Raw genomic sequence first — 18,872 nt, 5'->3', positions numbered from 1 at the left:
GATGCCCCTCTTCTCATCTAGGCTTATGATGATCTGTCCTTCCTCTGAACTCCATTAAACTTATATAGTTCATAAAACTTATTTGGAAAAAAATAGAATCTGTTCTCTCCCCATCTAGATTATAGAAACTCATTAGCAGTGTTTCCTAAATTCTTAAAAACATGACACACACAGAAAAGGGTGAGCAGGCAAGACTTGCGGCCTGATGCAATAGCTTGCTTAGTTTCCTTTTGGAGATACCTAGTCATCTTTTTGGTTTCTCCATAGACTTTTACAATTTTTCCCCACACTGGCTCTGCAGGGAGCCCCAAAGCCCAGACGGATCCATATCTGGGTGCCCCTGTAATCTGTTCTCAGCACGTTTTGCATTCTTCCCATAGTATTCAGCACAAGGCCAGGCACAGAATGCCTAACAACCATGTGTACTGCACCAGCTGACTTGAAACAATGTGAAAGTGAACAAAAGTACTCTTGGCCCATTCTCGATCCATACCTTGGATAGTTAGTGCAATACTGGGTATAAATGTGGAACTCTTCACTCTGCAAGGAAACAAAAGAAATTTTTATAGGCAACAAAGCACAAACATAAACATTCATTTGAAAACAATAAAAAGAAATAGCATTCGGGCCTTGACATTTATATATATATATATATGTTTTTTGTTTTTTTTTTTAGGCGGAGTTTTGCTCTTGTTGGCCAGGCTGGAGTACAATGGCATGATCTCGGCTCACTGCAACCTCCGCCTCCCCGGTTCAAGCGATTATCCTGCCTCAGCCTCCCGAGTAGCTGGGATTACAGGAATGCGCCACCATGCCCGGCTTTGGTGGATTTCAATGTCTTTCACAATGTTTTCCTAGACTGCCAAAGAAACGAGGTATGTAGACAGGGAGGGGAAGTGGCCAGAACTTTTGATAAGGCTTTCAGTCAGAATAATTAATTCAAGGCCAATAAATTACTAGCTTTTGCAAAATCTAAAATAAAATTACTTTTTTTTTTTTTGAGATGGAATCTCGCTCTGTCGCCTAGGCTGGAGTGCAGTGGCACAATCTCTGCTCACTGTAGCCTCTGCCTCTGCCTCCCCGGTTCAAGCAATTCTTGTGCTTCAGCCTGCTGAGTAGCTGGGATTACAGGCATGCGTCACCGCGCCCAGCTAGTTTTTTGTATTTTTAGTAAAGATGGGGTTTTGCTATGTTGGCCAGGCTTGTCTCCAATTCCTGGTCTCAAGTTATCCGCCTGCCTCAGCCTCTCAAAGTGCTGGGATTACAGGCATGAGCCACTATGCCTGGCCTTGAAATTATATTTTGAAAAAGAGCCACAGATTATTTTGGTGGGGTTTCACATTCTCCAATTTTTTTTTAACTTTTACTTTTACTTTTTAGACCACTTAATGTGGTCTAAGATTCACATGTGACTCTAAGTGCCTATTTTTCAGGTAGCTTTAATTTTTTTAAATTCTAAAATCTCTACTTAGAATCCTTCCTGTTAACCTCAACTGGAATTAGGTTAAACTTTTTTTTAAAATGGAAAGTTTCAAGCATATATAAAAGTAGAGAGGATGGTATAATAAATCCCCAAGTTTCCATCGTCCAACCTCAATAATCATTAACTCCTCGTCTCTGCCCCACCCCCCATTCCCCTGCTTCCCCATCATTCTGAATTAAATTCTAGACATCATTTTCCTTGTAAATATTTTAACATGTATCTCTAAAATAAGGACTTTATTTTTTTGAGACGGAGCCTCACTCTGTTGCCCAGGCTGCAGTGCAGTGGCGCAACCTCGGCTCACTGCAACCTCTGCCTCCTGGGTTCAAGCAATTCTCCTGCCTCAGCCTCCTGAGTAGCTGGGACTACAGGTGTACGCTATCACACCCAGCTAATTTTTTGTATTTTTAGTAGAGATAGGGTTTCGCCATGTTGGTCAGGCTGGTCTCGAACTCCTGGCCTCAAGTGATCCACCGGCCTTGGCCTCTCAAAGTGTTGGGATTATAGGCATGAGCCACCATGCCCAGACTAAAATAAGGACATTAAACATAATACCATTGTTACACTTAAATAATTCAATAACATCATGAAGTTTCACCAGTCACTATTCATATTTCCTTTTTTTCTTTTTAAAATCTTTTGCCTGTTTGATTTGCAAATAACAATCACACAGAGCAAATGGTTGATATCTCTTTAGTAGTCTCTTTTCATCTTTAAGTTCTCCCCTATTTTTCTTCCTTTTGCAAGTGAGTTGAAGAAACCACACTGTGCGGCACAGCCCCAGTTCCACTATTACCAATGACATCTCTAGAGTTTCTGTTTTATTTTTTTGAGATGGATTCTCGCTCTGTTGCCCAGGCTGGAGTGCAGTGGCACGATCTTGGTTCACTGCAGTCTCTGCCTCCCAGGTTCAAGTGATTCTCCTGCCTTAGCCTCTCAAGTAGCAGGGATTACAGGCATGCGTCACCATGCCTGGCTAATTTTTGCATTTTTAGTGGAGATGGGGTTTCACCATGTTGGCCAGGCTGGTCTTGAATTCCTGACCTCAAGTGATCCACCCACCTTGGCATCCCAAAGTGCTGGGATTGCAGGCATGAGCCACCACGCCTGGCCTGGTTTCATTTAATATGCCCTGTCCATTATACTCGTACTGGTTTAGTAGAGACTTGCTCAGATTTAGGTTCCGTAATTTGGCACAATACACTAGCAGCTGTTTTGTGCTTCCTCTAATGGAAGTACAATGGAAGTCTAATGGAATTGGGAAGTCCAATGGACATAAAGTCTGGTTGTCTCTCTTCTGTGATGCTAACAACCATTGGTACTTATTGGCTAGATCTATTAATTTATTAGGAGTTGGAAAATGGTGGTATTTCTAATACTTTATTCCTTCTTTATTTATTAGCTAGAATCTTTCCAAAAAAAGAACCTCCTTCTATGAACTCTTGGTTACTCTGCAGTTTATGATTTGTATGGGAAAGGCAGAATAAATGTTTAATTCTTTCCTTTTTATTTCAAGACAGGGTCTTGCTCTGTCACCCATTCTGGAGTACAGTGGTGGTCACAGTTCATTTCAGCCTCAACCTCCCAGGCTCAAGTGATCCTCTCACCTCAACCTCCAGAGTAGCTGGGACCACAGGCGTGCCACCACCTCTGGCTAAGTTTAAAACTTTTTATGGAGACAGGGTCTTGCTATATTGCCCAGTCTGGTCTCAAACTTCTGGGCTCAAGTGATCCCCCTGCCTCAGCCTCCCAAAGTGTAGGAGATTACATGGATAAGCTACCACACCCAGCCAATTCTTGCCTTTAATTTTCAAAATAATGTATTGGTTCTCCAGCGTCATGCAAAGGTGATCAATTTGGTGTTTTAATATCACTGCAAATTCATTAATATGAGCCTATTTAATGAGTTTCCATTGTTTTCAGTTAATTATCTTCACTGATGTTCAAATTATCCCATTTTTGGCTAGTAGGAGCCCCTTCTTGAGCATTCATGACCTGGCCTATGGTCTTTTGTAGCTTGTTTCCTGGTGTGACAAGATGTCCCAGACTATCTTGTATATTTTGTGCCCCACACTCATTCTTCATGGAGCCCCTATTCCTTCTGGCAGGAAACAGTGTTTGGAGACCACAATCTGGGTATCAGGGATACTCTTGCTGTAGGGCAATCATCATTTCTGGGACTTTTCAGTGGACAGAGTTAGGAAGTGGTGTGGTTTTTTTTTGTTGTTGTTGTTGTTTTGAGATGGAGTCTTGCTCTGTCACCTAGGCTGGAGTGCAGTGGTGCAATCTCGGTTCACTGCAGCCTTTGCCTCTTGGGTTCAAGTGACTCTCCTGCCTCAGCCTCCTGAGTAGCTGGGACTACAGGCACTCACCACCACACCCAGCTAAATATTTCTATCTTTAGTAGAGATGGGGTTTAGCCATGTTGGCCAGGCTGGTCTCGAACTCCCGACTTCAGGTGATCGCCTGCCTTGGCCTCCCAGAGTGTTGGGATTACAGGTGTGAGCCACCGCGCCCAGCCAGGAAGTGGTGTTTTTTTGGTTTTTTTTTTTTTTGGAGACTGAGTCTTGCTCTGTCACCCAGGCTGAAGTGCAGTGGTGCAATCTCAGCTCAATGAAACCTCTACCTCCTGGATTCAAGTGATTCTCCTGCCTCAGCCTCCCAAGTAGCTGGGACTACAGGCATGCATCACCACGCCCGGCTAATTTTTGTATTTTTAGTAGAGATGAGGTTTCTCCATGTTGGCCAGGATAGGAAGTGGTGTTTTTTTTAAAGGATAAAATACAACTTTAGTTTATACTAACACTTACATTAATAATTCAGATACAGGACTACAGCACTTTTGATTAGCTACACTCATTCTTTTGTCTGTGTTTTCTTTCTCCTACCAATTCCATTTCTCAATGATGCTAACATAAATACTTCTTTGCTTTATCTTGCAACACACTCAATAATTTCAGAATAACAATAGCAACACCACCATAAATAGTATCATTATTAAACAGTTAGAGATGTATTTGCTGTGTTTCATCTAAAGCATATTTTCAAATCAACTGAAATTCCTACTGCATGGTTATGCCACCAACCGGATACAGTTTAATTTTGCTTTCAGTTTGTGGAGACTGCTTTTTGGAACCTTAGTTTTGTTCTATAATTATGTAAAATATTTACATGGCTTCAAAGTCAATTCTACAAAGAAATTCATATTCAAAGAAGCCTCTTTTTTTTTTTTTTTTCTTTTTTGAGACAGAGTCTTGCTCTGCCACCCAGGCTGGAATACAGTGGCACCATCTTGGCTCACTGCAACCTCTGCTTCCCGGGTTCAAACAATTCTCCTGCCTCAGCTTCCTGAGTAGCTGGGATTACAGGCATGTTCCACTACAGCCCAGCTAATTTTTTTATTTTTATTTTTTAGTAGAGATGGGGTTTTGCCATATTTGCCAGGCTGGTCTCAAGCTCCAGGCCTCAAATGATCCACCCACCTTGGCCTCCCAAAGTGCTGAGATTACAGGTGTGAGCCACCGCTCCCAGCCTCCAAAGAAGCCGAACCTCTATTCTTTTCCCTTCTAGTCTGTTCCCTCCATTCCTCCATTGGTAATCAATTTTTAATCTTACAGGTTTTCCTCTCCTAGATAAACAAATCATGTTATACCAGTGATCCTCAAACTTGAGTATCAGAATTACCTGGAGGGACTGTTAAAACATAGATTGCTGGGTTACTGATGTAGTAGGTCTTAGAGTAGGGCCTAGGAATCTGCATTTCTAACGAGTTCCCAAGTGACGCTGATGCTGCAGGTCCAAGACCACACTTTGGGAACCACAGTGCTGTACACACACTTTTATCCACTCCCTCCCCAGAGGAGTATATATTCTTTTTTCTTTTGTTTTTGAGACGGAGTCTCACTCTGTCGCCCAGGCTTGGAGTGCAGTGGCACGATCTCGGCTCACTGCAACCTCCACCTCCTGGGTTCAAGTGATTCTCCCGCCTCAGCCTCCCAAGTAGCTGGGAATACAGGCGCCTGCCACCATGCCTGGCAATTTTTTTGTATTTTTAGTAGAGATGGGGTTTCATCACGTTGGTCAAGCTGATCTTGAACTCCTGATCTCAGGTAATCTGCCCCCTTCGGCCTCCCAAAGTGCTGGGATTACACGCATGAGCCACCATGCCCGGCCGAGATATTCTTTACTGTTACTGCTTCACAGTACTTCATTACGTGGATATACTACAGTTGATTCAAACAGCTTCTTGTTTAGGGACATTTGGCTGTTTCTAGTCTTTTGCAGTAACAAACATTACTGCAAAGAACAGTATTATGCTTACATGAATTTCTGTTAAGTGTATCCTTGGAATAGATCTCTCGATGTAGGACTGGTGGGTGAAAGGGTGAATTCAGATGCTAGACACACAGCCCAATTCCTCTCCATAGGGGCTGTGCCATTTTCTTTTCCTACAGTTATGAGTGTCTGTTTCCCCATGGCCTTGCCAACATTTCAAGCATTGTACCAAATTTTCAAGCATGGTATTTAAAAAAGTCTAAATTAGTTGTCAACTTTTAAAAGTTGAAAGATATAAATATTTTGATTTTGGCCAGGCACGGTGGCTCACGCCTGTAATCCCAGCACTTTGGGAGGCCAAGGCAGGTGGATCACCTGAGGTCAGGAGTTCAAGACCAGCCTGACCAACATGGAGAAACCCCATCTCTACTAAAAAAATAAATACAAAATTAGCCGGGTGTGGTGGCACATGCCTGTAATCCCAGCTACTCGTGGGGGCGGAGGCAGGAGAATTGCTTGAACCTGGGAGGCGGAAGTTGTGGTGAGCCAAGATTGCACCACTGCACCCCAGCCTGGGTGACAAGAGCGAAACTCTGTATCAAGAAGAAAAAAAAATATTTCAATTTCTAGCTTCTCCTGAAGAAGTATAAGACCCACCAGCCCTGGGCCTGCAGTTTCACATGGCAATGACCATCCCCAGGAGACCAGGCAAACACCTCGACTGCTATAGACTCCACCTGGGCCCCTTTGTGCACTTGAGTTCACTTATTGGTTCTTGAAGCCAGCCCTGGCTCCATGGATGAAAATGCCAGAGTGACTTGCCCAAGGTCTGTGAGCAAGTTAATGTACCAAATGGGGACTTTTCTCTGATTGGCTCATACTTTTTGAGTTTCTTGCTTTTTCTTTCCTGCCTCTTGCTATACTCAACCTGGAATAGAACAATATCAAGTTGACTTTCCTTACAATTTTGGACCTGTAGGATCATTTGAAATACAAATTAGAAAACAATGGTTTCAATGAAATTAGGTTGACATTGCATAATATAGTGACTTACTCCTAGCCAGCTATCATAAGACCTCATGACTTCTGCACGATTGAATTTCTGTGCATTTTGTGATATCATGGCTCTATTCCTATTTTAAATTGGAGGGCTGTGATTTAAATCAGTTATATATCTTTAACTGGAATTAAATGCAAGTTTGCCCTTAGGTTTGTGAAGCTCTGTGGACCTTACAAATGATGGTTTCACATAAAAGTCAACAGCTCCTAGTTAGATACCATTAGTTATTAAATATGCCACCCCAAATCGGCTTAGAAGGATTTAAGGGAATGTGTTATACAAATATATATAAATCATAAGAAAAGATATTTCCTTCTAGTTCTTCAAATCTTTCAAATTGTAATCAGAGATGACATAGAAATGAGACATTTAATTATGAAAGAGCCAAAATATGATATAATCAGTGCTGACCAATCAAGCACCTAAGTCTCTCAAATATTTATTGAATAGGTAGCCACAGTAAAGCAATATGTATGATTTTAGGGTTTCTTCTGCCCCAGGGTCCTCCTCTCCCTCTCTGATTCCTGAGAAGTTTTCACTGGACACTACAAGAAAGACTTAATATGTAAACAGCATACGGGTAACTTTGACTTAAATTCACTCTAATCATATGACTATCCAATATCCACACTTCCTTGAGGATAATTTCAGTAAGTGGGTGGTACATGTGCATGCTTGTGTGTGTGCATGTGTGTGTGTGTATGCGTGTGTGTGTGCACACACACTCACTCCCTGGGCTCTAAAAGGAAGAAGGCACCAACAGAGAGAGAGCCACACAACGAGGGAGAGTAGGCAGCTAAGGGGAGGTTGAGGCTCTAAAGACAGACTTTGTCTCCCTCCTAAACGTTGCCCTGGGTCAGCCTTGCTGCCAGTCAAGATGAGAGGTGGATGTGAAGGTGGAGGTAAAGGCAGCAAAGTGAGCCATTCTAGGTGTTTCCAGAGACCTAAAACAGACAAATGTTTACTGGGAGAAGGTTTGGCCTGCCCAGCACGAAACTTTAATTTCTGTCCTTCAGGAGAACTGTGGGTTCATTCTTCCATGAGCATCAGGTAAAAAGCAACCATGTTCTCCATCTGTCGATAAGGACTTCTGTAACCTACACATACCACGACAGTAAGCAAGGTCAAAGATGAATCTCTGTGCAGGCCCCAGTGGTTCAGATAAAAGCAGAAGTCAACTGTCAGCTTCACCTCTTTCATTAACGGCCTCCCAATTAAAGCAATTTTCCATTCCTCCCTAGAGTTGAACAGCTGGTTGTGTTTCAGAAGACGTAACATCTTCTAAATGTCAGGCTGCTGAGTGAAAGGCAGGCAGTGCCTGAGCCCAGCACTCCCTCAGGATTCCCTGTTTCCATGCGAAAGTGCAGAGAGCTCAAGTCAGTCTTCTAATTAAACTTGGCAATATTACAATGAAAAGGAAGATTTGGGAGTTGGCAACGTGGCACATAAACAAACTTTTATGTGAATAATTAAGCGAGAGCTAAGCATACGCTGGAACATCTTTAATCAACTTGTGATTACAGTTACCAGTAAAAGCCCAAACGTTTCCGAAAGCTTCTACGTTGTTTATGTGCTGTGGTTATTCTAACATATCTCCTTTGATATACCCAGCATATCTTTTTAGCCATTTTGCCTTCTTTCATTTTTCTTCTTTTTTTCAAATCCCTGCTCAATTTTGACACAGGCAACTTGTGAAAAGGATTGTATGTGTAAGCTTACACACAGGTAAACGTGTGTGCACACTTTACATGTGAACACACACACACAAAGTCAGGAGAGCCCATGGATTGTGCCTTTACATATAAGCCCATGGATTGTGCCTTTAAGGAACTTTGCTCCAATAAAACCCAGGGTGTTGTGTTTGGAAGCCATCAGGATGCATCTGCCACCATCAGAAATGACCCTGTGGAACAGTCCAGAGCCAGGTCAGACTGGAGCGACATCTCCCAGTTCACACCGGACTCCGCGTGTGCTAATTCCCAGTGGGTCTCAAAGCGCCATCATGAACTTTTATTAAACCTTCGTGCATTTCAAACTACAAATGCAGAAACCACATGAAAGTTTGCTGCAAAACAATTTCTGCTAAAGGCTTTCCAAACAAAAGCGGTTGAATGTTTAAGAGAATTTAAACAAGACAGAAATCTCTATATACTAGGCAGCATGCTGAGAAAGCAATGTAGGAAAGGCCACATTGTAGGAAAGGGTAGGTTTCAGAATTCCATCACCTATTCCACTTCGGAGCACGAGCTCACTGTCATTTAAGCTTTGAAAGTCAAATCCTTTCCTTGTATTTTTCGAAACCACTGATGCAGCTTAAGAAAACAGTGGAAGAGTACATTTTTAAAATGTAGGAGATTAATTCTGCTTCTCTCTATCCCTCAAAAGAAAGATAATTATAGAGACTAGGCTAGTGCCACATATATTATACGTAAAATATTTAGATTCTCTTGGACTTTCACTAAAACTAAACTTTCACTAAACTAAACCAGTTCAGTGGTATTTTATATTTTTCTAACATTCATCTTCTTTTTTTTTTTTTTTTTTTTTGAGACAGAGTCTCACTCTTGTCACCCAGGCTGGAGTGCAATGGCGTTATCTTGGCTCCCACTGCAACCTCCGCCTCCTGGGCTCAAGTGATTCTCCTGCCTCAGCCACCCTAGTAGCTGGGATTACAGGCACACCACCACGCCTGGCTAATTTTTGTGTTTTTAGTAGAGACGGGGTTTCACCATGTTGGCCAGGCTGGTCTCAAACTCCTGACCTCAGATGATCCACTCACCTCGGCTTCCCAAAGTGCTGGGATTATAGGTGTGAGCCACCATGCCCGGCCCATTTTTCTAACATTCTTCTACTCCGGACTCTCCCCTCCCAAGCTTTAAGTTTTTCCCAGCAAAGAGTAACATTATTCAGTTACTGTACAAGTTCTAGAACAACTACTAGATTAGCATCTCCCTGGCTCCAGGAACAATACATTTTTGCTACTCAAACAAAGAAACCAGAGAAAGATTAGTGGCTAACTCTATCTGATATGAAACAAACCAGTCATTTTAACTTTAAAATGAAAAATTCTGTACTCTGTATCTGTCTCAGTTGGCCCAGAAGGATGAACCCTGCTTACCTTGGACACAAAACACTCTGCTATGGCCACAGGATCATTTTCACAGTTTTCCAAATCTTGCAGAAGTTCACTAATAAAAAAATAACAGCCAGGAAGTATTAGATTGTAGTCTTCTGGGTGAGTACATTTTGTATAATTTAAAAGTTTAAACATTTCCATGGCATTTACAAGGAATCATATAATTGGATAACTGAGGATCTGCTGTCATTGTATCCAAGGCTTAGGTAAGGGACTTGCCCAAGGTCATGGTGGAGCAGGGGATTAAACCCAGGTTGAACCCATAACTCTCCCACCAGAGCTAAGCCCTGCCTATCTTTAAGTTTTGCAGACGTTTGTCATCATCTACTTGAATGCTCACCCATGCTCATTCAGACATCAAATAGCTGCCTAGGTACCAGGTACAGTGTACCTGTACTAGGAACACATCAGTGAGCAAAGTAAGACATGGGCTCTCGGAGGTCCCCAACCTTTTTGGCACCAGGGATCAGTTTCGTGGAAGACAACTTTTCCACAGACTGGATTGTGGGGATGGTTTTGGGATGACTCAAGTGCATTACACTTACCATTAGATTCTCATAACCTAGATCCCACGCATGCACAGTTCACAATAGGGTGTGTGCTCCTATGAGAATCTAATGCTGCCACTGATCTGACAGGAGGTGGAGCTCAGCTTCACTTGCTCTCACCTCCTGCTCTGCAGACCAGTTCCTAACAGGTCACAAACTGGTATTGTCTGTGACCTGGGGGTTGGGGACTCCATGGCTCTGGTCTTATGGAGCTTCCAATCCATTGGAAGAGTCAAGCATTCAATGAAAAATCACACTAATGAATACAAAATTATAATAGAGATAGTGCTTTAAAGGAGAGATATGCTGGGAAGGGAAATATCTTTCCTCAAATGTAAATTCATGTTATTTTTTTACTAGGAGTATCATTATTTTAAGTAACAGCATAATACTTCATTGTGTGACTGTACCATAATTGATTCAATGAATCTCACACTGTTGGATAAAATTCTACATATGGAATTGATGGGTCAAAGAACATTCTCAGTGTAAATGTTAACACATTTCTAAATTGCACTCCACATGAGTTATACTAATATACACCTTACTATGCTAAGTATTTATTTTAATGAGTCATATGCTATATATTTAATAAAAAGTGAAGTAGTTCTACAGGAATTATGATAAAAACAAGCAGTTTCTGGTTTTCAGATTCTCATTCTCGATGGGCACTGCCCAGAAGCATTTTTGATTCTTTAGGCTATTTCTGCTCTAAGAAGGTCCATGCTTCTAACCATGCTGATAATGTGTTTTCATTATTTTTCAACTTTAGGTATTATTTACTCTCAGTTTCCTCAAACTTACCCTTCTGTCTTCTCAACTAGTTCTAAGATGTCTCTCTCTCTCTTTTTTTTTTTTTTAATTTTAGAGACAGGGTCTCACTCTGTCAACCAGGCAGGTCTTCCTGGGCTCAAGTGATCTTTCTGAAGCGCTGGGTAGTGTGAGCAACCGTGGCCAGCCTTCTTAACTAGTTCTGTTATGTAATTTGATTCGATTAAATGTCAGAATTTACATCTTTAAGACTATGTAAGTATTATGCCCTGTTAGCCTCAGAGTATACTATGATTTCATTTCCTTTCTTAGAGAATCATGTTTTCCCTGGAGTTAAAATTGTTTCTCTTTTTTTTTCTTTTTTCAAGATAAAGACCATTAATTTATTAGCAAATTGTATGCCAGAAGTATCAATCTTGTCTCACTGTGTTCAAATATCAGATATTCTATGCTTTGCATTTCTTTCTTGGTGACCTCTGCTCCAACCTGGACAGGCTGCTGTCCAGGCCTGCTGGTTGTTTCTTCAACACCATCCTAATGATAGCCTTTGCTGGTCTTCTGTATTGCTATTTCCAATGTATTCCTTCCTTTGGGAGATTACAAAATCGAGCAATAGTTTCTGAGTAAGAGTAACAGAAGGTATGCTTTCTGAGACTCTTCCTGTTTCAAAAATGTTCTCCCTTCGCACTTGGCTAATGATGTCAGTAGATATAAAAGTCTTGGTTGGAAGTAATTTTCTCTGAGTACTCAGGGAGCTATTTGTCTACCTGTGATTTATAGATTCCAATGCTGCTATTGAGATTCCAGTATCATTCTGATGACCCCCAGCCCATTCTGAAAGCTTTTAAAGTTTTCTCTTAGTTGACATAATTACAAAATTTTGTGATAGTAGGCTTTGGGTGGGTCTTTTTCATGCACTGAGCAAATGTACAAATTTGGGAAATGATCTGGATAGCAGTTCTCCAAGTGTGGTCTAACGACCTCTGGGGTTCCTGAGACAAGACCCCTTCAGGAGGTCCACAAGGTTGGACCTCATAAAAATACTGAGACATTATGAAATTCTTAAACTTTCATTCTCTCATGAGAGTACAGTGAACTTTTCCAGAGGCTACATGACGTGTGATATCACAACAGATGGAAAGTTGAAGCAGATATGAGAATTCAGCTGTCTTCTAGTAAGTCAGGCAGTAACAAGATCTGTAAAAATGTAAAACAGCTCCAAAACAAACAAAAAAATTTAGTAGAAAAAGTAGTAAAATTATTTTTCTAGAAATATGTGGGCTTGTTCTTTTTTAGTATTAAATAAATAGACATCTTAACAGGTTCTCGGTTTTCATTTCTAATGTGGCAAACAAAACATAATAAAACATAAACAAAAAAGCTTTTTCAGTCCTTAGTAATTTTTAAGCATGTAAGAGATCCTGGACCAAAACACTTGAGAATCTCTGCTCCTGGCTGGATGTGGTGGCTCATGCCTATAATCCCAGCACTCTGGGAGGCCAAGGTGGGCAGATGACCTGAGGTCAGGAGTTCGGGACCAGCACGGCCAACACAGTGAAACCCCATCTCTACCAAAAATTCAAAAATTAGCTGGGTGTGGTGGCACACACCTGCAGTCCCAGCTACTCAGGAGGCTGAGGCAGGAGAATCACTTGAGCCTGGGAGGCAGAGATTGCAGTGAGCCGAGATTGCACCATTGCACTCCAGCCTGGGTGACAAAAGTGAGACTCCGTTAAAAAAAAAAAAAAAAGAAGAATCTCTGCTCGTGAATTATGTCTTTGATATTTCCTCCCTTGCAGTTTTAAAGTTCCTATTACTCACATATTGGATCTCCTGGTCTAATACGCTAATTTTCCTTACTCTTCCTCTTCTACTCTCTATCTTCCTGTTTTCATTCCTCCATTTTTTGTGGGGGGAGACCTCCCCTTTATTTCCCTTTTTTTTTTTTTTTTTAGTTTTTTTTCCCCATTTCTTTTATTGATTTTTTTGTTTTGTTTCAACCATCAGATTTTCAATTTCAAAGTTTTTTTTTAAACATGTGTTTTGGATGTTTCTTGCTTATGCTTTTGTTCTTATTTCATGCGTGCAAAATCTTCCCTTATTTCCAAACTCGCCATGATGATGATCATAATGATTTTGTACTTTTCTTTCCTGTTCTTTGTTTTCTGCTGAGCTCCCTTTTTGATGATTTTAGCTTCTGTCATTCATGTTAGATGCTCTTCTCAAATTCTGAGTATCTTCATTTGTCCTTTCATATTTGAAAATGAGCCACAACGTCAATCATGAACTCTTCGCAGGGATGGAGTTTATTGTGTGGTGTTCCTCATTCCAAGGCAGTGGTTCTGAAACTTTTGGCATCAGGACCTGTTTATACTCTTAAAAAATTTAGTGAGAAGAGTAGCATTATTTCCCCTTTTTGCAAATTTGTAATCTCTAACTTAATAGAACATAGCTGGATTGTCCTATCTGCTTCTGCATTCTATCTGTTGCAATCTGTTGTTTTGGTTGAAGTATATAGGAAAAAAATCCAGTCGCACACAGATATGTCACTGGAAAAGGAGGGAGTATTTTAATGGCATTTCCAATAAGTATGGATATCTTTCATAGCCCACTAACATCCTTCATATTACACTGAAACTCAGCAAGTGGTAATGGGTTGAAGGCCTGTTTGAGTCTGAAACCATATCAATGTACTATACTGGTACTTTATTTTATTTTATTATTTTTTTGAGACAGAGTCTCGCTCTGCTGCCCAAGCTGGAGTGCAATGACGTGATTTCGGCTCACTGTAACCTCTGCCTCCTGGGTTCAAGCGATTCTCCTACCTCAGCCTCCCACCACCATGCCCAGCTAACTTTTCTATTTTTAGTAGAGACAGGGTTTCACCATGTTGGCTGGGCTGGTCTTGAACTCCTGGCCTCAAGTGATGGGCCTGCCTCAGCCTCCCAAAGTGCTGGGATTACAGATGTGAGCCCCCACGCCTGGCTACTGTACCATTACTTTAAAATCCACTGGCCTATCTTGCACTTAGAAAGGATCTTTTAAGGCCGGGCATGGTGGTTCACACCTGTAATCCCAGCACTTTGGGAGGCCAAGGCGGGTGGATCACGAGGTCAGGAGATCGAGACCATCCTGGCTAACACAGCGAAACCCTGTCTCTACTGAAAATACAAAAAAAAAAAAATTAGCCGGGCGTGGTGGCAGGCACCTGTAGTCCCAGCTATTTGGGAGGCTGAGGCAGGAGAATGGCGTGAACCCGGGAGGTGGAGCTTGCAGTGAGCCGAGATCGGGCCACTGCACTCCAGCCTGGGTGACACAGTGAGACTCCATCTCAAAAAAAAAAAAGAAAAAGAAAAAGAAAGGATCTTTTAAAACAGTCCCAATTCCAAACATTCTTCTCCATATTCCTATAAAAGACTCCCTTTGAAAGATCAGAAAATATAGTTCTGATATTTATATCATTTTCTTTTATAGAAAGATGGGAGTGATTAAATTAACTCTTTTCCCGTTTAAAAAAAAAGTTCAGCTCTCTGCCAGCGCTCTTTTAATTTTACATAAACATGCTCTTTGAGGCTGAAACTAATCTTACTGATTTTCTTTTCTTTTCTTTTTTTTTTGGAGATGGAATCTCGCATCTTCTCCCAGGCTGGAGTGCAATGGCATGATCTCGGCTCACTGCAACCTCCGCTTCCTAGGTTCAAGCAATTCTCCTGCCTCAGCCTCCCCAGTAGCTGGGATTACAGGCATGTGCCACCACGTCTGGCTAATTTTTGTATTTTTAGTAGAGACGGGGTTTCACCCTGTTGGTCAGGCTGGTCTTGAACTCTTGACCTCAGGTGATCCACCTGCCTTGGCCTCCCAAAGTGCTGGGATTACAGGTGTGAGCCACCGTGCCCAGCCTAATCTGACTGATTTTCAATGTGAAAATAAAATATAAAAACTGTTCTTGGCCGGGCGCGGTGGCTTACACCTGTAATCCCAGCACTTTGGGAGGCCGAGGCAGGTGGATCACCTGAGGTCAGGAGTTCGAGACCAGCCTGACCAACAGGGTGACACCCCTTCTCTATTAAAAAATACAAAAATTAGCTGGGCGTGGTGGCGCATGCTTGTAATCCTAGCTACTCAGGAGGCTGAGGCAGGAGAATTGCTTGAACCCGGGAGGAAGAGGTTGCAGTGAGCTGAGATAGTGCCACTGCACTCCAGCCTGGGTGACAGAGTGAGACTCTGTCTCAGAAAAAACAAACAAACAAACAAAAAACCCCCTGCTTTTGGAGTAATCTCTAAACAGAACATCAGAATCATCTATTTCAGAAAAATTGGATTCATCAAATGAATCTTCGGCCAACAAGCATTCAAGAACGACGTTAACATCATGCGTAGGAATGCTATGTTTTCTAAGATTTGACATTTTCAGCAATTGAGAATTACTATATTTTGTAAATGGAAATACCACTACTAAAAACAGAATGCTATAAAGAGAATGATGTCTTTTGTTTTTAAAGTCGATATACTAGAGTGATGTGAAAATAATAATAAAAGTGAGATATGTCATGGTAAAGTTATCTCGGGGTAAATGCTACACCTGTGAGAGCCACTGTCCAGTATTCTCACGGAAAAAAGGAAGAGTTTAAGGAGAGTCGAAATCACATCATTCTGACCTGAATACCAGATGAGGTAAGAGAAAAGGTCTGAGGAAATGAAAGCCAGAGGGCCAGGTGCAGTGGCTCACGCCTGTAATCCCAACACTTTGGGAGGCCGACGTGGGCAGATCATGAGGTCAGGAGTTCAAGACCAGCCTGGCCAATATGGTGAAACCCTGTCTCTACTAAAAATACAAAAATTAGCCAGGTGTGGTGCTACTCGGGAGGTCGAGGCGGAAGAATCACTTGAACCCATGAGGTGGAGGTTGCAGTGAGCTGAGATCATGCCACTGCACTCCAGCCTGGGCAACAGAGCAAGACTCTGTCTCAAAAAAAAAAAAAAAATTAAAGAAAAGGAAAATAATAGCCAGAGAGAAACATTTCTGGGCCAGTGTTTTCCATTAGTAGAGGATGGGGTGCTCTGGATGTATTGTGTCCTGGTCTTTCAGTATAGGCCCTCTCTCTGAGCAGAGAAGAACTGTGAGCGGACTCCATCATGTTATTTCTTTCTTTTTTTTTTGAGACGGAGTCTCGCTCTGTCACCCAGGCTGGTGTGCAGTAGTGTGATCTCGGCTCACTGCAACCTCCACCTTCTGGGTTCAAGCAATTCTCCCTCAGCCTCCTGAGTAGCTGGGACTACAGGCACGTGTCACCATGCCTGACTAATTTTTTGTATTTTTAGTAGAGACAGGGTTTCACTGTGTTAGCCAGGATGGTCTTGATCTCCTGATCTCATGATCTGCCAGCCTCGGCCTCCCAAAGTGCTGGGAATACGGGCGTGAGCCACCACGCCCGGCCTTGTTATTTCTCATAGCACAACAGAAACACTTCTTGGCAGGCCAGGCATGGTGGCTCATGCCTGTAATCTTAGCACTTTAGGAGGCCGAGGCGGGCGGATCACCTGAGGTCAGGAGTTTGAGACCAACCTGACTAACATGGTGAAACCCTGTCTCCACTAAAAATACATAAATTAGCTGAGTGTGGTGGCAGGTGCCTGTAAGCCCAGCTACTCGGGAGACTGAGGCAGGAGAATCACGTGAACCCAAGAGGCAGAAGTTGCAGAGAGCTGAGATCGCGCCATTGCACTCCAGCCTAGGCGACAGAACGAGACTCTGTCTCAAAAAAAAAAAAAAAAAAACTTCTTGACAATATTTAACCCCCTGTGTTTTAAATTGTATGTTCGGATTGCCTCCAAGCTTTAGTTTCATCTCACGAGTGGACTTCCTGGTAGGAGGAAGTGTCTCGGGGACCCAGCCAGGCTCCAGGTGTACCTCATCTGTGAATGAATGCCTGGCACTCAAGAACCACAGAGCTGGGAGGGCACTCAGATACCTTCAGTTCCGATCCCTAATTTTAAGGTGAGGAAACCATGGCTTATTAAAGGATGTAGCTTACCTTAGGTCACACTGCCAATAATGCATGGCCACAGTCATGGTTAGATTCAGGCCTTCTGAATCCCAGTCCTGCACTCTCTTAGAAACACATCTATTGAAAGATTTGTTTGCTGTTCCACTCAAAGCTGAGGGCCAGACTCCACACTGTCATATCTTCAACATGGTACTGCCTACTAGACAAGTCTTGTTTGAGTTACCTGGTCAGCTTTCCTTTACAACCTTTTTCTAGAACAGGATAAACACAATAAAAATGGTACTAGTAAAGAGAAAGTAATGGCATTTCTCTCATCCTCTTGTCACTGGGGCTATCATCCCCATGAAGCTGTTCCTATCCACTTTGTCTGCTTGCTATTCAATAAGCAATTGCTAAAAGACTGGATGTCAGGCAAGAAGGTTACAGGGGTAAAGAAGGTGGACAAAGGCCCTGTCCCATGTGTTTATGATCTGACCAGGGGTGAAAAGTACTAATAAGTGTGAATAAACAACATAATATCACATTGTATTATGTGATATGAAGGAAATAGAGGGTAGTACGATAGAGAGCAACTGAGGCTGGGCGAGGGTGAAAGAAGGTTGGGACAGTCAGGGAAGGTTCTCTGAGGAGGTGATATTTGAGTGCAGGAAGTCTTGGAAGAGAAAGTCATTTAAGAATGTGATTGCAGGCTGGGTACAGTGGCTCATGCCTATAATACCAACACTTTGGGAGGCTGAGGCGGGCGGATCACCTGAGGCCAGGAGTTTGAGACCAACCTGGCCAACATGGTGAAGCCCCCTCTCTACTAAAAATACAAAAATTAGCCAGGCGTGATGGTGAGCGCCTGTAATTCCAGCTACTTGGGAGGTTGAGGAGGGAGGATTGCTTAAACCTGGGAGGCGGAGGATACACTGAGCCTAGATTGCATTACTGTACTCCAGCCTGGACAACAGAGTGAGACTCCGTCTCAAAAAAAAGAATGGAATTGCAAACCAGGATAGAATGAGCTTGGTGGGTTCTCCTGTGAGGTATACAAAGGAAGCCACAGTGGCTGGAATTTGGTGGGCAACAGAGAGTGTGGTGGGATAGAGGAAGACATCTCGCTATAAAAGATATGCAAACACGCAAAGTACAATGGGAGCACAGTCGGGGCCTGGAATGCAGTGCATCAGCCACTGAAGACACTCCTAAATACCAGACACGGGATGATTCTACAGTTACAGCCTCGGGGGTGGAGACTACGGATTTCTCATTGAATCAGTGTAACTAACGTGCAACAGCACATGTGCACCAGGATTGCATCAGTGTGGCTGATGTGCAACCGCACATGTGCACCAGGATTGCATCAGTGTGAGTAGTGTGCAACCACACGTGCACCAGGATTGCATCAGTGTAATGTGCAACCGCACATGTGCACCAGGACTGCATCAGTGTGAGTAATGTGCAACTGCACATGTGCACCAGGATTGCATCAGTGTGAGTAATGTGCAACCACACATGTGCACCAGGATTGCATCAGTGTGGCTGATGTGCAACCGCACATGTACACCAGGATTGCATCAGTGTGAGTAATGTGCAACCGCACATGTGC

General features: G+C 42.6%; 1 protein-coding gene across 10 annotated transcripts in view; it reads right to left on the bottom strand.

Moving 5' to 3' along the window:
• The window catches only part of PLEKHG1 (pleckstrin homology and RhoGEF domain containing G1), a 243,781-nt gene that overhangs the window by 47,270 nt on the left and 177,639 nt on the right, over positions 1-18,872 (bottom strand). For 9 of the 10 annotated variants that reach the window (NM_001329804.2, NM_001029884.3, NM_001329805.2 and 6 more), the window contains 2 exons: positions 9,937-10,006; positions 494-540 (listed from right to left, as the gene is read on the bottom strand). The exons of the other annotated variant lie outside the window; for it this stretch is intronic. In NM_001329804.2, the coding sequence (NP_001316733.1) occupies positions 494-540; positions 9,937-10,006 (117 nt within the window). The remainder of the gene's footprint in view (positions 1-493; positions 541-9,936; positions 10,007-18,872) is intronic. 10 annotated transcript variants of the gene reach the window in all.

This window comes from Homo sapiens, chromosome 6 (genome assembly GCF_000001405.40).
Source record: "Homo sapiens chromosome 6, GRCh38.p14 Primary Assembly".
Lineage (NCBI taxonomy): Eukaryota > Metazoa > Chordata > Mammalia > Primates > Hominidae > Homo > Homo sapiens.
Note: the sequence above shows the minus strand (reverse complement) of the source record. Positions and strands in the feature narration are given on the sequence as shown.